Source organism: Homo sapiens, chromosome 5, assembly GCF_000001405.40.
Source record: "Homo sapiens chromosome 5, GRCh38.p14 Primary Assembly".
Lineage (NCBI taxonomy): Eukaryota > Metazoa > Chordata > Mammalia > Primates > Hominidae > Homo > Homo sapiens.
Window position 1 is genome coordinate 136,006,704 of NC_000005.10, and position 19,734 is coordinate 136,026,437.

At 43.3% G+C, this 19,734-nt stretch overlaps 1 long non-coding RNA gene across 1 annotated transcript; it reads right to left on the minus strand.

Moving 5' to 3' along the window:
• Positions 1 to 14,854: 14,854 nt before the first annotated feature.
• LOC105379189 (uncharacterized) lies at positions 14,855 to 19,190 on the minus strand. Its single transcript, XR_948809.3, has 4 exons — positions 19,115 to 19,190; positions 18,160 to 18,239; positions 17,956 to 18,076; positions 14,855 to 15,158 (listed from the first exon to the last, which is right to left on the minus strand). It is a non-coding gene; the product is annotated as an uncharacterized LOC105379189 (long non-coding RNA).

A 19,734-nucleotide genomic window follows, 5' to 3' on the forward strand; every position in this document is an offset into this window, starting at 1 on the left:
CAGAAAATGGATTTCAGGCTTCCTTTTAAAAGAAGTCAATTATCCCTCTTATGACTGATTCATAATTTAGCCATAAGGAGCTGGACGTTACTTCATTCTGACAATGAGCCATGATCCCTTTGTTAGGCCAAGTTTAGACAAGGAATCTAAGGCACAAGTGAGTAACTCCTGATGCATCAGGGTGTGCAGAGACTCCTTGAGTTCCAGAGACCTTGAGGCCTAGTCTGGAGCCTCCAAGTGGATTTTTTTCTCTTCTGTTCAGAATTCCACATTCTCTACTGTCTGACATGTAGAGGTGAGTCAGCCTCATGGTAAAGAGCAGAGTGGCACCCTGCTGTTTGGCACGGCTGGTCTTAGGTGTGAACCCCCTTGGGGCAATAAAAGGAAGACCTGGGACCTCAGGGACTCCTGTACTCTGTCCCTCCACACATGGGCACGGCTGGCTGCCTGTCGTCCCGAGTTCTCTAAAGGCAGGAGCCCCCCGATACCCTCTACTCTGTCCCAAGACATCTCCTTGCCGCAACCCAGGACAGGAGGGGCAGTTAGCTAACTTAGCAGATTATAAAATAGCGCCAAGACCAGATATTCTACTTGATGCAAAATGCACTTGAGAGGCGTAAATAATTTAATTGGCTGTTGTCACGCAAACAGGATAATCACAAGTTCTCCCAAGTACTGGTTGTTCCAGCTCCCTCTCCTTTCAGGACAAATTGCTCACACTTATCCCACTCACATATACCAATACTTTAGGGAGAAAGAAGGGCAGGGAGAACTGCTTTCATAATTCCCAACTGTGAGGTGTTGCAAGAGGGGAACGTGTACAGGTCCCAAAGGATCTTTCTCTGTGGCTTTCTGGGACTTCACTGCCTGAACTCTTGTACCCAACAAAAAGATCACATTCTTCTTTGTTTCCCCAGTACCAGTGCTAGTGCACAGCCTGACCATAGCATTTTCCACATTGTCTGGCATTTGCCTAGTGTCTATCTTTCCCTGGGTCTGAACTTCCAAAGGTTAAGAACCAGGGCTCATTATCATCTTGGACAGAACCTAAGCAGAGTGGATGCTCAGCAGTGATTTGTTGAACCAAATAAATAAGTCAGCCCAAGGCTTTGCTAAAGAGCTGAAAGGATGATATTCCTGAGAAGACAAGTCAACAAACGTAGCCTGTGTGCATTCAGTTTACATAATTGATAAATATTTATTGAGCATTTACTGTGTCAGGCATTCGTCTAGATACTGGGGATATAGCAGTGAACAACACCAGTGAGATTCCTACCCACAAGAGTTTAAATGTAGGGGGAGACAGACAATAAACACCTAACAAAACAAATCAAATAGTAGCAGTCATTAAGAGACTTAAGATAATAGAGAGTGATCGGGATCAGGAAAGACCTTTCTGTCTGCTTTAAAGTGAGATCTGAATAATGAAAAGGGGAGAGAGCACTGCAGATGGAGGAGATAGCTAGTGCAAAGGCCCAGAGGTGGAACTAAACTTTCTTGTTAAAGAAACAGGAATCCAGAGTGGCTGAAGAGCACAGAGTGGGAGTGGAGAGTGGGGACTGGGGAGTGGAGGGCTGAAGTGTAGGCTAGGGCCAGATCACACGGGTTACTCTGACTGCATTGGGGAACCACTAAGGTACTTTGAGCTGGGCAGAGGAGGGTGGGACAAATCTGTTCATGGAGGCATTTTGAAAAGACCTTTTGGTAAAACCAGGGTCCCATCCTTCATGTACAGGATGTACCTAATACATCCACTCTTGTCGTTTTCCAGGAGGCAGAGGAACCTCGCCTGCTTCACCATCTGGTGCATGTTTGGACACATGGGGAGAGGTACTTCCTTGGCTGTGGGGCAGGGAGGAACAGAGTGGCTCCCATGAGGATAGAAGACACAAATTTGGTCTTGAAAGCGTTGAATTGTTCTTCATTGGCCAGGGCTCTTTTAGTTGCAAGTGACAGAGGCATAATACAAACTAGCTAAAGTCAGAAAAAGAATTTGTTGGCTATCAAAACTGGTCGTTCCCAGGGCACAACTGGCATGGAGGGCTCAGTGTTGGCAGGATTGTCTCTGTCACTTGGTCTTTCCCACTCTGCTTCTCTGTTTCTGTAGATGTTATTCTCTTTTAGGAGGGCTTCCTCCCAAATATCTTTAGACACAGGAAGTGGCATCTCTGTCCTGGGCTCCATGCCTCTGGGGACCCTGTGCTTTGGGGTAACTTCCTTGAAATTTTCTAAGCCCCTTGGATGCCTGGGACCAGCTGGAGCCATCATTGACAGCGAGGCAGGGTGCCCCAAACCTAGACCAGGACTCATATGGGCCCTGGTCCTCATGTCTCCCCAGTGGGACATCTGACTCTCTTTCACCTATGCTGGGTCAACCAGATATTCTGAGGAATTTTAGGAATCACATCCATGGGATTATCGAGGGACCCTGGGGCCAGGCCCCAGTTCCAGAAAGATGGTTTGGTGAATAGATCACTCTCATGAGGCAGTGTATTTCTTTCAGAGGATCCCATGAGATTGGGCCTCAAGAATGGTGCTGACAAGCTGATTTGGAATCCTCTTACTTCCATCTGATCTGAGTTCAGAGCTCTAGGCTATACTCGCCCTTGGGCTTCTACTGAGTGTGAAGGCCCAAGTGCCAGTCAATCCTGTTCATTCATGTTCTGATTATGGGGCACCAGAGGGTGGTGGAGGTGGTGGCCGGAGTCCTTTATCCTGTGTGCTTCCTGCTGCTGCAGCCAGGTAACCTCCCACACTGCTCCACAGGTCAGGATCTATACCATGTGGGCTGTGCCTGTTTCCTCCAAGAGTTTCCAGATCGTTGCTTCAAAGCACCAATGGGCCCTTCAAATTGATGTCCTCTCTTGCATATGATTGATGTGCTGGCTTCATGTCTTCTTGGGCTGGTTGTCATTCATGCCAAATCAAGGACAGAGGTTCCTTGTGCAGATCCAGATAATAATAGAGGTCAGGCCTCTGCCCACCGCTCCCACATGGGGAATGGCCCACGACCATCAGCATCTTTCTACCCTGCATTTTTATTTACCTCTCCTTCATCCATGATTGGATATATAACCCTTATACAGCCAGCACCAAGTGGTCCAGTTTCAAGGAGGTGCTATTCAAAGAAACACAGTCCATCCACCCTAATTAATTTCAAAATAACTCAAGTATTTTGCTCCTTGAAAATTATATGGCTGGGTGTGGTGACTCATGCCTGTAATCCCAGCACTTTGGGAGGCTGAGGCAGGCAGATTACTTGAGGCCAGGAGTTTGAGACCAGCCTGGCCAACATGGCGAAACCCCATCTCTACTAAAAATGCAAAAATTAGCCTGGCATGGTGGCGTGCACCTGTAGTCCCAGCTACTCGGGAGGCTGAAGCAGAAGAATCACTTGAATCCAGGAGGCGGAGGTTGCAGTGAGCCGAGATCATGCCACTGCACTTCAGCCTGGGAGACAGAGCGAGACTCCATCTCCAAAAAAAAAAAAAATTAGCTGGGCACGGTGGCGTGTGCTTGTAACCTCAGCTACTCGGAAGGCTGAGACATAAGAATCTCTTGAACCTGGGAGATGGAGGTTGCAGTGAGCCAAGATCTCTCTGTTGCACTCCAGACTGGGAGACAGAGAGACTCTGTCTCAAAAAAAAAAAAAAAAAAAAAAAAAAAAAAAGAAAAGAAAGTTATATAAGGGATCTAAGTACATGCTCCATGGGAATTCCATACATTCACCAGACAGTCCACAGCTGCTCCAGCCAGCTCTCTTCAAAGTTCTTACCCTTGCCAAAACTCTTCCTAAATCCACAGCTCTTATGGCTTTTCTTCTTTATTTCTATGCCTCCCTCCGAGGAATTAATTATCTAGATTTGTGCTGTCTAATATGGTAGCCACTGCCATATGTGGCTAATTAAGCACTTGAAATATGGCTAGTTTGATTTGAGATGTGCTATAAGTGTAAAATGCACACTGGAGTTTGAAGACTTGAGATGAGAAAAAAAGAAATATAAAATGTCTGACTAATGTTTTTCATATTGATTACATGTTAAAATGATAATGTTTTAAATATATTGGCTTCCATAGAAATATTTTTAAGATTAATTTGTACCTGTTTCTTTTTACTTTCGTAATATGGCTACTTATAAAATATGATTTTATATTTATAAAGTATAAAATTACATATGTAGCTCAGGTTGTATTTCTACTGGACAGCCATGGATCAGATCAATTAAGACTACCTAGAAGTCTTCACGTTTTTCTCCTTGCTCTGTGGTTCTTCTTTGCCCTGATATCTTGATTTAAAAACACAAAATCTCCTATTACTGGTCTGGCAGAAATGAAACTCTTCTTAGATAGGATGTCAAAGAGCAAAGACCCTAGAAACAAATGCATTCATCATTTTTGTCCCATCACACAGATGTTAACTTGCATTTGGATTCAAATTGACATTTTAGGAAATAACTAGATTCACAGTCTGTGGAAATTGCCATCATAACTCTTTACCATATAGAAACAACATCAAATGGAGGAAGAGGAATAAATTTTTTTTTCCTGAAACTCTAACAAATTCACATTTTAGTCTAGAGTTTAAATTATTTCATTCATGAGGGAGCTTCTCTCTAACTTCTGTTCTTTCCAGGCTCTGTCACAATCCCATGCTACTTAGTAGACACAACTCGAGTAAGGCAATTAGCTCCTTTGATTTAAAACTGGCAAGAAACATTTTCCTATTTCATTTTCTGCACTTGGATAAATGTCCAGTTCCCAATCCATCATCACCAACAACTTAAGATTCCACCATTTAGTTCCCGCTTCAAGGAGACTGTCCTGAACCATGAAAGCAAAGCTGCCATGACTCACACTTCACATAAAACATGTCTGGATGTTTGGGAAAACAGCCAAAAGCACTTAATATAACCTTACGATAGGAGATATAAGGTAGTTGGGAATACAATAGGAGGATTCGTTTTAAGCTTTGAAATACTTTTTATCTGATAATCTTTTAAGTCTTTTTTGGATTAAAAAGCAATGCACATTGACAGCTGACAGGAAAAGAATTTCAATATCTAAGTGTTCACATATGTGAAAAAAATTGAATGTGGACTGAAAGCACGCATTTGAAATAAATCATGGCTAATGGACAAAAGAGGATCTTTTGCCTGGTAATTATTTTCCCTAGATTAATAAGGGAACAATTTAATCTGGGTGGTTGTAGTAAAAGATTTAAAAGCTAACTACTTATTGTTGTCAGCCTGTGGTTTTGAAAATCAGAAAAGAACTTGAAAAATGGTTTCCTAGAATCTCTAAGGAATAGGGGAGAGGGGGAAGGCTCTCTCAGGTATATGATATTTTCTTCCTATGATACCATATTTTTTTGCATATGAAGAACACACATATACAATTTTAGAATTTGTTAATATTTGCTGTAGTTTTATGTGTTTAATATTTCAGACAATTGCTTGTTCATGTTACTTGAGGAAGAGGAAGTAGAATGTTGTGCAATTAAATGGAATCTCAAGAATTAACGCTGATATTTAGTAAGCCACTTCCTCTTACCCTAAGTGTCTAATTCATGCATTTCTCTATAAACGGCAAAACTGCAGATCTCATCAAAAATTTTGTACTCAAAATATGAATCTCTGAGTTCTTAGTTAACTTTAAGGTGTCATTTTCTTAAACATCTGTTGAGACAAGAGGCAGATCAGAATTTAGATATTCCACAACTGTTTTATTCTATGAAGAGATGCATGTACAGACATGAGCAAACAAAAGTTTCTTGGTGTTTGGTCTAGAAGGTTCTATTTTTTTCTCCTCTGAGCTGAAGTTCCTGTGTAGAGTGAGACCTCATAGTAGAGTGGAAGTTGGAAACATTTGTGGAGATACAGGCACTTAAGCAAAAATCAGAGAAGAGCTGCAACTTCTACTGGCTCTGACCTGAGGCCAGCTGTACACATCACAAAACCCCAGGGTAATGTCCTCTAGCTCCAACCATGTTGTTGCATATGACAGGACCTCATTCTTTTTATGGCTGAATAATATTCCTCTGCATATGTACCACATTTTCTTTATTCGTTTACCCACTGAGGGACATTTGGGTTGATTCCATATCCTGGCTATTGTGAGTAGTGCTTCAATAAACATGAGATTGCAGATATCTCTTCAATATACTGATTTCCTATCTTTTGGAATTATTTCCAGCAGTGGGATTGCTGGATTGAATGGTAGCTCTATTATTAGTTTTCTGAGGATTGTTCTATATAGCGGTTGTACTCATTTACATTTCCACCAACAGTGTATGAGGGTTCTCCTTTCTCCACATCCTGACCAGCACTTGTTATTATTGCCTGTCTTTTGGATGAAAGCCATTTTAACTGGGGTGAGATGATATCTCATTGTAGTTTTGATTTGCATCTCTCTAATGATTAGTGATGTTGAGCATTTTTTTCACAAACCTGTTGGCCATTCGTATGTTTTCTTTTGAGAAATATCTATTCAGATCTTTTCCTCATGTTTTAATTGGATTATTTGATTTTTTCCTATTGAGTTGTTTGAGCTTCTTATATATTCCAGTTATTAATCCCTTGTCAGGTGGGTAGTTTGCAAATATTTTTCCCATTATGTGGGTTGTCCTTTTGCTTGTTATTTTTTCTTTTGCTCTGCAGAGGCTTTTTAGCTTGATATGATCCCATTTGTCCATTTTTGATTAGGTTTCCTGTGCTTTCGAGGTCTTACTCAAGAAATCTTTGCCCATACCAATGTCCTGAAGAGTTTCCCAAATGTTTTCTTTTAGTAGTTTCATAGTTTCAGGTTTAGATTTAAGTCTTGAGATAAGGGTCTGGTTTCGTTAAGTGGAATAAGCCAGGCACAGAAGGACACATTTTTCACATGTTCTCACTCATATGTAAGAATTAAAATTTTTAAAAAATTGATCTCATGGAGATACAGATGATTACCAGAGGTAAGGAAGAGCAGCAGGAATGGGGGGGTAAAGTGGGGATGGTTACTGGGTACAAAAATGCAGTTAGATAGCATGAATAAGATCTAGTGTTCAGTAGCACGACAGGGAGACTGTAGTTAACAATGATTTATTGTGTATGTTTAAATAACTAAATGAGTGGAATTGAAATGTTCCTAACACAAAGAAATGATGAAAACTTGAGGTAACGGATACTACAATTATCCCAATTTGATCATTACACATTGTATGCCCTGTATCCAAACATCAGATGTACCCCATAAATACACACAACTATTCTGTATCCATAACAAATAAAAACAAAACAAAAATGACCCCAAAAAAACCCCAAGGTAGCAGCAGCCTTCAGAAATCTTTTTCCCCATCCTCCCTCTTTGCAGGGCTTGTCCTCAGCCAAGTGTAATAGATGGCTGTATGTTCTTAAAGCTCTCCTTGGGAAGCCGCCCAGCAGCCTCTGCAGCCTGTTCCAAGCCTAACACTCAAGAGGCCCTTTTAAATGTGTAATATAAATTTGCCCCGCTCTAACCTGGGGCCCTGCGGGGTACTGGCCTTAACAGCACATGCCTAGGTGAGACACAGGGAGAGAGGCTGACTCATTTCTGTCTCTGCTAAATATCTATTCTCTTATGTGTACTAGGGAAGCAACACTTTCTAACATTTCTCTTGAGACCTGTGGTTTGGGACTAAGAAGATAATAATGAAAGAAGTTATCTGGCTCTTTAATAAATCCTGCCATATGCCTGCAACCCCATCGGTACAGATTCTTATCTCAGAGAAGAAATGAGTCTTGAATGCAATCTGCACTGATACTTACCAGAATCCTGTCTACAAAATGGGAAGGCAGATCCATATTAGAAATAGGTGTCTGGCAAGGGCAAGAAATGAAAGTGAAGGTCACCAGCAACTAGAAAGAACAGCAGCTTGGATTGTAGAACCTTGGAGAGGAAGACATTTTGTCAGCCCTGCTGAAAGGCACATAAATGGCAATGATGGTGAGGTGACGTCTCTGCCCTGTGCACTGTCTGTAGACATTAAATATCTGGTTCTCTGCTTGATTTTTATGAGGGCAAATTACTAAATGATTTCCATAGCATGAAGGGAAAACAGAGGAGGAGTCCAAGCCCAAATGCAAGTCTCTGCATTAAAGGAACACTTATCATGGACTTGAGCTGAGGCCAGGCTCAGGGTGCCAGATGGATCTGGAAGGAGCGATTGGAGAATATTTCCTTTGAAGTTTGGTGGTCAGCTGCTGCCGGCTGTGCTGATGAACCCATCTTGTTCTAGGAAGAGTAAGGCTATTATTTAGAAGGGAGGGAGCCCACATTTGAAGTTCTGTATTAACATTGCTATAAATGATAAAAAAAACTTTTCATTTCTAGGCAACGTTTAAAGCAACTTGCCTGATGTGGGTTTTGCCCGCTCCCCTTAGGGTAGTAATTTTTAAAGAGCTTTAATTTAATGGAACAATTAGTATGCCAAGTAATCGCCAGCGGTAGGGGCGATGGTTTGCAAGCCTCCCTGAGCCTGTCTCTGCCTGGGGAGGGAGCAGGGCGGGGGTGCAGCTCTGTGTGCCCAGGCAAGTGGCAGGTCTTTCAGGATAAATAAAGAGAAGTGGGCCCCTACTCTGCTCTTGTAGCCCACAGGCTAATGGGATGGGGTGAAGTGGGGAAAGAAGGCATAAAATGTGAATCTAAAGTAGAAAGTATAAGGGAAGAAAACACTACAGGGAATTCACAACCAGGCAGAGGGGATCCAACGGAGGAGGTATCTTAACATGATCCCCCAAAGGAGCAGAAATTTGGGCAAGAAATGGAGAAGAAGACACCAGACTGTGGTGGGCATGTGGGAAACTTTGAGGCATGTTTAGGGAAGAGAGAATCATCAGGTTGGATTGGAATGGAGGGGAGTGTCTGGAGAAAAGTCTGGAAGAAAAGTCAAGGCAATGTTGTGGAAGGTCTTCCTTTGGGTGGGAAGGGCTGGAGGCTGCCACAGTAGCCCAGGTGAGAGAATGAGCATGCAGCGGCGAACGGGTGGGCAGAATGCACAGAAGAGCTACTGCAGATAAGGCTATTATTTAGAAGGGAAGGAGCCCACATTTAAAGTTCTGTATTAACATTGCTACAAATGAAAGTGGTTCTCCATTGTGGCTGCACATCAGAGTCACCAGGGAAACTTAAAAACTAGTGTTGCCTGGACCACATGACCAGAGATTCTGGTTTAAGTGGTCTGGGATGTGGCCCTGGGCATCAGGATTTTTTAAAAGCTCCCCATGATTACTTATTCTAAGTTGCAGCCAGGGTTGAGAACCACTGGTTGTAGCAGATTCTGATTCAATGGGCTGAGGCCTGTTCTAGAAAGCTCGAGGCAATGTTAGTGATGCTGGCCCATAGACCACTTTTTGAGTAGGACTTGACCATGCCACATCAGCACAGCACTTGCCTGCATTTTCACTTCTCTAGGGAGGAGAAATTCCAAAAATACTTTGACCTTTTTTCATCTGCTATTCCCTGGGATGTTGGGCCCTGCTAAGAGAGGGCTGCCTCATTCACTGGTGGTTGTTGCTCTTCAAGGACAAATGGAGACTTCAAACTGGAACACACACATCCTTGGGGCTACAGGAAGACCTTTTAGGGAGCATGCATAATTTTTACCAGAATCAACTTCCAAGTCCCCATTTTCCACAAGTGCCCTCTCCTAGAACAGATCAGCCTAAGCATGCGCCTCCCCTCTGCTGATGCTCCTACTTCCCTTTCCTCAACCTCCCTTCTTCATGAAGGCAAGATTTCCCTCTTACCAGCTTACCATGGGGCATTGTGCCAGGACTTCTAACAAAGGGGAATTAGAAAAGGCAGCCTCTCAATGTTCAATTAGAGTTTATAATAATAGCAAACATTTATACAGAAGTGTGGAGCAGTCCTTTTTCTAAGTACTTTACATAAAATTATCTCATATAATCCTCCTAATAGTCCTGTAAGTAGGTATTATTCTTATTCTCAATTTGCAGAAAACATTGACATAGAAGCAGTTAAGTAACTCATCCAAGGCTGGTATGAGGGACAGAGTTGAGATATGGCAGAGATTTTCTATCAACTGCATAAACTCAATCTAAAGTTCCAATATTTTGACAAAAACGTAATGTAATGCTCATATTCAAAATACAATGCTCTGACATCTTTTACAGTTATTTAAACACATGATAAAAAATCTTTATAAGTCAACTTTAAAATGTGCAAAAAAGGTCAATTCTTTGAGTTGGGTTGTGAGCAAAATATTTGAAGATCATTGATTTTGAGCCAAACAGCCCTGGCTATGACTCTTGGCTTAGTCACTATGCCATCTTGGCCAAATCCCACTCTTTCTGAGGCTTAGTCTCTCATCTGTAAAAATGGGGACAACCATCTCAGCAGGGTTGTTGAAAAGATCAAATGAGACAGCCCAAGAAGTGGCCTGGCCTGCAGCCAACTCAGGGTGAATGGCAAGTATTATTAATGTGGTTGGCGTCTGGCAAATCTTGGCATGTGGTAAGAGCTCCATGAATGTGAGTGCCCTTCCCCTTAGTAATGGTTCCCAGATTTGATTCCCATGGAAGCCTAGACATCTTGTGGAGAGGGAGGGGGTAGCATGAGGCCCCCAAGTTTCATGCCTCCCATTGTTTTCCCTTTTCAACTTCCTCAAAGAACATCTCAAAATGCACCTCCCCCAAGTTGCCTTCCCTGACTAATACAGCTTCACAGTGACCTTTCTCTTTCATCATTTGACTGGCTCATGCCAGGCACTCCATAGTTAATTAACCAATGAATGAATGAATACCGGGAATGGGGTAGTGAAGAAGGCAGGCATTATCCCTGCCCTCATCAAACTTGCCGTCTGGTAGAGAAAACAGACATGTCACTGATAGATGCTATGGTGGGAGAAGAAAAGGAGCCAGTAAAAGCCCACAGAAAGGGCACCTACCCAGGCTGAAGGCATCAAGGAAGGCCTCCCAGAGAAAGTGTGGTCTAAATTAAAATCTCATGGACACATGGAAGCCAGACAGCAAGAATAAAGGTCTGTGTTCACAGGTTTGGAGGTGGAAAAAAAGCATGCTAGGTTCAGAGAACTGAAAATATTTTAGTAAATTGGCTATAAAAATGTATGTTTTCCAGTCTTGAACTTGATTTCTTGCCTTTCCTTGGCCTTCACAGACAATGGTGTGCTTCTGGAAGACATGAAGGACCTTCTACATCTTTTGTGTTTACCCTGTATTTGCTTGACTATGCAATATCCACAGCTGACACTTTAATAAATGCTTAGTGGGTGTGGAACTTACTAGAAAAGGAGACCTCTCCGAAGCTTCCTTGGAGCTCATTTCATACATTCCCTGGGCCTGGGCAGCACTGTATAGAATCCCTTCTGGCCAGAAAGGGGCTAACAGAATCCACCTACTGGCCCTTAAGACATGTATCTACAGGAAGCCATGCTCTGAAATATCTTTTCATGCATTATCCCAAACTCAGGGTTATGTATTAATAGGAGCATTTCACCTGCAAGGGATATTCATAACCAGTGGCCTTGGGGCTGGGGCTCTGATCCTGTGGGATGGATGAATGGCAATGGATGGCTTGTCTCATTCTGCATTTCCTGTCCAAGACCAAGGAAAGGCACAGGGTTGGCAGGAGGGATGAGAGAGCAGGATTGTCCATTCAGACTCTGGCTCTATCATGGACAGGTCAGATCCAGTCACCAGTAGATGGACTCGGCCTTTCTTGCTGTCCCAAAGTGGCCCTTGCTAGCCATCTGTTCTCCTCTTCTCACACCCTTCAAGGCTTTCTGATCAAGTCCACAAAATTGACTCGTGCAAATGACACTGGGAAATAAGCTGTGGTCACCAACAAGTCAAAACCAGCTGAGATCGGATATTTCTTTTGAGGCATGAAAACAAAGATTTTTGGTAATCTTTTAGAGCATTCCTAGCTGGAAACTTTTCCCGGAAATCCATAAGTTAAGTGCTCCTTGTGTCCTAGAGAGCAATGAAATTTATTCTTACACCATCCACACCAACTGAACGCTAGTTATGATAGGCTCTAAGGTGGTCCATGATACCATCGCATACATAGGTAAGCTTACTTCCTGTGTGTCTGCTGGAGAAAGCTGTGTTTATGCCAAATGAATTTATGTTTCCAGTTTTCAAAATTCAGAGCTGATTTTCCCTGGTTTGTGGCAAGCGGGTTGGCCAGCAAATGAAAATCAGCAGGAGGAGACTTTCCCAAAAGTCAAAGGAGGATGGAAGCAGAATGTGAGAAGTCTGAGCTCAGCTAGCCTGGTCTCCAAGCCTTGGGCAACATGCAGCCTGCCTGGTACGTGACCAAGGTCTGAGGTCAAAGGTGAGATTCCACACACATGGAGACAGGCCAGTTGAACCATGCCAGAAACTACCACTTCCTAAGTGCACATCTTTTCTCTACTGAAAGCAGACCCAACTGTCCTTAGTGAGTCCTTTAATATGTCTGTTTTGTGTCATGCGTATGTGACTCCTCTTAGGCACCCTGAAGTCAGGAACAATCTTCTCTCACCTCTCCCCTCCAGAACACTAGCGGAAGCAACCATTTCATCTATGATAAGAATAGGACCCTGAGCTGACGACTTCCTGCATATCATTTCCTTGGTGATGAGATGTTTTTACCCCAAATCCAGCCGTGTCTTTCCCTGTTGTTTAGGATTATTAGATGTATGCACTTTTCTACCACCTTCTTCTTCAAGAGACATCTTGCACTGAGGTTCTTGTGTCATTTGCTGTTCCTAGCGTATGCCAGGTAAACATTCAGCAAGAGGCAAATGCTTTCAGCCACGTGAGACCTCTGAAAGGAAAACACAAGCAGGCCTTCTGCCGGAACCAGTAGCCGCCTGCTGTTAGCTGGGGAGAAAGGACTTTCATTCGTTTTTGTCATCAAGCTGATACTGTGCCAACACCCACATCTGGAAACAGTTATCAAGAAAGAAGAGGCATGCAAGCCTGGGTCTCATGACCCTGCAGCCTTCCTTTCTGCTGCTCTATTTATTAACATACTGATTTAGAGTGATCAACCTATGTCCCCAGAGTAAGTTACAGAAACTAAATTTTTAAAAGGCCACTGCCGTCACACCACTTCACGAAAACAGGCCAAGGTCTAACTTATGGGGTCTTGGATGGAGTTTGTATCTAAATAAACACATTTTAAAGTTGCTTATTGTGTTGTACTTTAATCACTGAGCCAAGCCTTTTTAAGCTTTGTCTTGAGCTCTGTGCCCCTCCTCAGCTTGGCAGAACTCTGTCCTGTCAGTCTCAAGGGCTTGATAGAATTTGTACTTATTGGATCTGGACACACAGATAGAGGAGTCTGTTATTTGCACATCACACAGACCCACACACACAGATACACACTTGTTGCCCTTCCTTGCCTCCTTCACTGTAAGTAACTAGAAATTTAAGAAGGAACCTGAATTATGTTTGTGTAGCACCAGTGCTATGTGATGTTAGTTGCTGATCGTGCCCCAAAGGTATAAATAGACTCCACAAGGGCTAGGGGCCTACCTTGAGGCTTATTGGTTTTGGAGTTTGAAAAGTGCCCACAGAGAAGACTTGAACCTATCTTTGAGAAGGACCAAATCAAGTCATAAGATATTTAGTAGATCTCTCTACAATAGAGGGAGGAATAAACGTGGCCATTAAGAGTGAATACAGAGGAAAGCATTTCTTTCAGGCTTATATATGTCTCAGGAATTGTAAAGCGCTAACAAGAACCAGAAATTCAGACCAGCAATCCTGTCTCTAGTACTAACCCCGTCTCCGGTTTCTGTTTTGATGAGTTGCAGTCTACCTTGATGACTTGGCTTCACTGTCCACCAGATGATGAATCATCCCTTCTGGGAAGAATCTGGTTTCCCTCCGGCTACCCCAAACTCCCCCCGCCAATCCTTGCTACCCTCCCACCCCCGTTGTGTGGTGTGTGGTTGGGTACTTCCCTTTGGAGTCCTTTTGGGTATAGCCATGCATTTGGCACTTATTTCATTGTATATGTGCCTGGCTCCCCACCAAAGAATGACTCACTTGTGTCTAGAACCGTAATAAGCAGCCGACTGCTGGGCTCCTAACATGAACTCAGTAAATATTGGTAGAATCGATCAAGAACCACTTTCTGGAGCAAGCTGGTTGTTCATATGTTGTCAGTAGTAGTTTTTAAAAATAATGTAGAATAACAGGACTAACTGAACTTCTGGTTAGACTGTTACTTCAGGAATGTGCTAACTAACGTGGGAAAATCTTTTCTAGGCACCCTGGAGGTCATTTTAATTTTTTTGTTGTCCTGGGATTTTGGTGTATCAAATGTTCATTGAAATGACCGTGCCACGAGTTTGAAGATTTCTCAGGCACATTTAATTGCTATTTCATCAGTAATTAAATGAGGAATTAAAGGTTGTTGAGGATTACTAAGCAATTCTAGTTGATCCACTGAAAGGAATGCTGATTCATGGTCATCTAGAGAGTGATCCAGCAGCTCAGGTCCCCTGTCTGTCTGGAGAAGGGGATGAGTGGCTGCGTGCTGGCTGCTTTCTTCCCCAAGCCTGCCTCACTTACCACAGCAGCTGCTAGAGTCTTGCTCAGTGAAAATGTGTTCAAGGGAGAAGGTTTGAAGGTTGTATTAGTTCGTTTTCATGCTGCTGTTAAAGACATACCTGAGACTGGGTAATTTATACAGAAAAAGAGGTTTAATGGACTCACAGTTCCACGTGGCTGGGGAGGCCTCACAATCATGGTGGAAGGTGAAATGCATGTCTTACACGGTGGCAGACAAGAGAGAATGTGAGCCAAGCAAAAGAGATTTCCCCTTATAAAATCATCAGATCTCATGAGAGTTATTCATTACCACGAGAACAGTATGGGGGAAGGTACCACCATGATTCGATTATCTCCCACCCGGTCCCTCCCACAACACGTGGGAATTATGGGAGCTACAGTTCAAGATGGGATTTGGGTGGGGACGCAGCCAAACCATATCAAGGATTTTCCAAAAATATGCAACTACCCTAGCTGGGGAGGGGGTGCATAGTGGTTTAGGTAGGACAAGTACTTAGGGCTGGGCTGCCTGTGTTCAAGTGCTGGCTCTCCTACCCACTAGCTTTGTCACCACTCCAACAAACTTCTTCACCTCTCCAGCCTTGCCTTCTTCATCTGGAAAACAGAAAAGAGAACAGTACTCAACCCATAAGAGTATTTTAAGGATGGAATGACTTAACACATAAAGGTATTGAGAATAGTACCTGACATTGGTAAACTCTTATTTTTCTTTAATAAGCCAGTATTCTACGTGGGCACATGCATGCACTGTTTTTTTTTTCCTACTGTTTTTTTTTTTCCTTCTGCTTTCTTCCCTGCATCATTCTCAAACGTATAGCCTTTCCTAAACATAGCCTCATCTGGAGGAAGCTTGGAGGCTAATTCTTGCTTTTGTTGTCTTTAGAAGCAGAAATCATTCTAAACATTTGTATCTTAACTACAGAGCACTATGTGGTTTATGTAGAGCACAGCATTCACCCCATTCCTGTCCCAGTGAAATATGAGGAGTCCCATGGATGGAAGACTGAGGAAGAAAATGCTGGGAAAGACTGGGGAAGGGTGTGTTATGGCTGGCCTGCCACTGGGCCCAGTGCCCAATCGTTAGATGAGGGGCAGTGGAGGGTCCAGAGAAGTCTGGGGTGGGTATCATGGGGCACTCTACATGGGGTTTAATTTTTGTCCTTTCATGCCAGGGCAAAGGTGCTGATCTGGACAATGAGCAAGTTCTAAAATGTTAAAACCAGCAGGCAAAATATGGTGGCTCTCATCTCACCAGCTCTTTAGCCTGCACAAATTAATTTCTATACCATGGATTTGAATGTCCAGGGTGTTTTGGAGTAGGGTGGATCGGGTCAGGATAGCAGCAAATTCTTAGGAATTTTGAAAATGGCTCTCAGGATGGCTGCTGTGGAGCCATCAGTCATGGCTGCATCAACCCTGCTTCCCCTTTCTACCTTCTAATGCTGGCACAACATTGCAGCTGGGGAAGCAGAGACTTTCTTTCACCTAGCATGAGGGAGCTTCCAAAGGATCAGGATGTGATGTTGGGAGCACCGGCCCCAGAGAAGCTCGATCCTTCTCCTTCGTGCTGGGACTTAAGGCCTGTGCTAGGGAAGCTGGAGAGGGAGCCAGGTCCGATGTTCTTTAAAGCCCTTCAGAATCCCTGCCTGACCCAGAGGGCCACGCAAATGAGTCTAGTCCACAGCATATGGTGGAGCAGTCACCTACAGCAGAGCCAACAAATGTCTTTGTCTATTCTGACCACTCTATTAGAATAAGTGTGAATTATGCTAGAAAGAATTTAGGAAGCCAGTCAACTGATGGATCCGCAAATGCTAACTGGGCTCCGTGCTGACTTATTAGGAGGCTGTTAGAGAATCAGAGGAACAAACACATGGGCTCACTGTGATGACGGATGTTAGACTTCAAAAAGGAGAGGCTCCATCCAGTGGGAGAGCCACGGAAGGGAGACCAGCTGAAAAAACAGCAGCCCAGAGAGGTGAAGGAATTTGCCTGAGCAAAGCTTCTTAGCAAAGCTGGTTTTGGAGGGAGAGTATCGCATACGTGTGTAGAGGCAAAGAAGGAGCACAGTGCTCACTACACGGGGAGCAGAGCAAGGCTGGGGGTGGGGGGCTGAGTGGGTGGAAGAGGCACAGGCTGGCCCTGCAAGAGCCCAGGCTGAGACTGGGACACAGGGAAAGCAGGTTACATGAAGCAAAGGGGGAATTTTGCAGAGGACTTTAGAAGCCAGGTACAGTAGAAAGAGGGCAATACATGGGAAGTTCTTTCAGTATAGGGATTATGGATGTGTGTGTTCCTCTTATCTAGCCTTTTCAGTATTTTTTAAGGTTTTTCTTTTTTTGGTAATGTGCCTGTATTCCTTTTTAACATGGTGGGGTGCTGGGGAGGATAAAATGTTCATCAAAAAAATAAATAAACAATCAGAGAAGTCTGGATTTTCTTTTACAAACAATAGAAGCCATCGGGAGTGTCCTAGGAGTGCAGTGTTTTGGTAGAAGTGTTTTAGGAAGATAAGACCAGCCACGTTGGGAGATGGTTGGCTGGGGTGGCAGCTGATGTCAGACTGGCTGGAGGCTGTGGGTGGTGAGAGGTAAGGCAGTGGGGAGCTGGAGTATTTGAGTAGCAAAAGAGGGAACAGAAGCATCTAGGAGAGATTTGGAAAGAACACCTGCAGGATCTTGGTGACTGATTGCACGTGGGGGACCAGAGAGCAGGGACAGGCAAAACTGAATGCAAGGTTTCCAACCTTGAGCGGCACCACAGGCAAGAATGAAGAAATGAAGAAGGGGAGCTGGACGAAAGAGCCAAGGGATTTCTGCATTTTGGAATGAATTGCTGCTGGGTGGTGTCCATTTCCCTGAAGGCCTTTATCCTACGTGCAAGAAAACTCGTGGGAAGCAGAGGAAAGGCATGTGTAAGCCAACAATCATCTGTGGGCATCCTTCCACTAAAGTATTTGAGGTCAGGCAACTAAAGCAACCTCAAAAGTGCCTCTGGATTCTTCTTAGATATTTTAGCTGAGCCAAATCAATGAAACTCTCATGAAAAATCGGTTTCCCTGGAAAATGAAATTGGGTTCTAACCAACAAGTAGCATTTGGCAGGCCCTGATTAAGAAAGCCAGTGTTTGGAGAAGTTGTGAAAACAGCCAAGTCATTTAAGAAACTAAACACTGGGGCCTAATGCCATTCTAGGGCTGCGACGGCTGTTCTGTTCCCATCAATTGCAGAGCCCGAAGCCTCAAGTTTGTTTTAAGTTCCTGCCATTACAAACCTGTCGATTATCCCAGCCTCCCTTGCGGGCTTTGAAAAGAGAGAAGAATGGAAGGTGACTGTGGCCAATTTCCCCTCCCTGTCCAGTGTGTGGAAGACACTGAATATGCAACTACTGACCTTGTGCCTGGGCATCTTGAAGGTCTTCCACAAAGTGAGCTGGGCCTCAGCGGAAGATGAGAGTTCCTCTGTGGTCACTTCACTGGTACACATTTTCAGGTGTATTTCGTTTCTTCCATGCCTACATAAATTGAATCCTCTGTTAACCACCTCTGAGCTCATAGCTATTTAACATGACCCTGTAGTCCTGTGCATACAAATCACCTTGGGATCTGGTGAAAATGCAGATTCAGTGGGTCTTGGGAGGTTGGGAGGTTATAAGATTCCACGTTTCTTCATGAGAGCTAGAAAAAATAAATAAATAAATAAAAAATTTTTAAATTTTCCACATTTCTAATGAACTCTGGGGTTGTGCTGATGATGCTGTTTTGCAGATCACATTTTGAGTGGCAAGACTGTGGAAAATCCTTGAGAAATCAATCCAAAATCCCCTAAATGGTACTACAATCACACCTTAATGTTAGTAAACTGAGATGTTTCTTACCTTTATTTGTAACATGGAAAAAACAATTACTGTATATGAAGTACCATTCTAAGTTCTGTGTGTTACACAAGGGATGGCAATTTTCCCCAAAATTTGATTCACATCTTTTCATTTGGATATCTCTTGCCAAAACTCACCTTTTTTTCTCCCTAGCAAGTCTTGGGGAGCTGAATTTTAAGAGCTCTTTATTTAGCTATATGGTGGCCTCTGAAAATGATTTTGACTGTATCTTCTGTCTCCATGTATGCCCAAGCATCACCAGGAACTTTAGGGAGTAAGGAAAAGGCAGGCCTGGTGTCAGCTGGGCTGCAGATGCCAGCTCTCCCACCAACAGGCCCAGAACCAGTTTCTTTCCTAGGTTCCTTTGTGAAGAACTTGTTGGAACTACTAATTTATCATGATGCATAAAGCTTGTTGTCATACCCTACAGTATTATTTTCAAAACCTGAATGTTTTTGGTGACCTTTCATGTGCCACAAAATGTAAAAGCAGTCATTTTTTAAAAAGTGCTTGAAAAAGTCTAGTAAAGATTCTTCCAAGCAAGCCTCACTTTCTCCTGTTTAGATTGTTTAATCTGGAAGGAAAAAATTCTTTCTCAAATGACAGGGTTTCTGGTGCTCTGTGTTTGCCTGGTTGGCTCTGGGTCATCTGGGGATGGAGGGTCCCTGCTCTTACCTCCAGCAGCATCACTCTTGTCTCCAAAGAAGCAGCAACCTCAGGTGGGAGAATGGTTATACTCACAGCATTCTGCTTTTCATGTTTGAAAGAGGGGATGGGTGGTGGGGCATGGATGTGGGATTTTAAAAAAATATCTAAACCATAAATAAAGTATTACTGCAATCTCTTTACTGAGCTCATGGAAAAACTCAAGTCATCGAATGTTAGTTTTGCAGACTGGAGAAGTGAGGTCCAGTGAACTTGCTTGACTTGCCCTAAATCTTGCTAGAGAGAGAGCTGGAACCAGATGGCAGGGCTCCTGGCCTCTTACATACAAGGAGCATTTTTCCTAGAAACTGCAATGCAGCCAAATTCTACTGGTCTCAGGGGAAACTTGTTCTGGGAGTCAGCCTGAGCTTGAATCCCTTTGGGTTCTTCCCATTATCCTATGCCAAGCAGTCATGCTGAAACCGAGAAATGTTTTGCTTTCAATAAATGAAATGAGCATTTTCAGATAATTATTTCTGTAGTTGCTCAAAACTATCATATTGTTTCATTGAACCCTACTATATAGAACAATGACTGGGGAGAGGTAATAATAATAATAGCAATGCATATTTATTGGCCATTTTACTTGA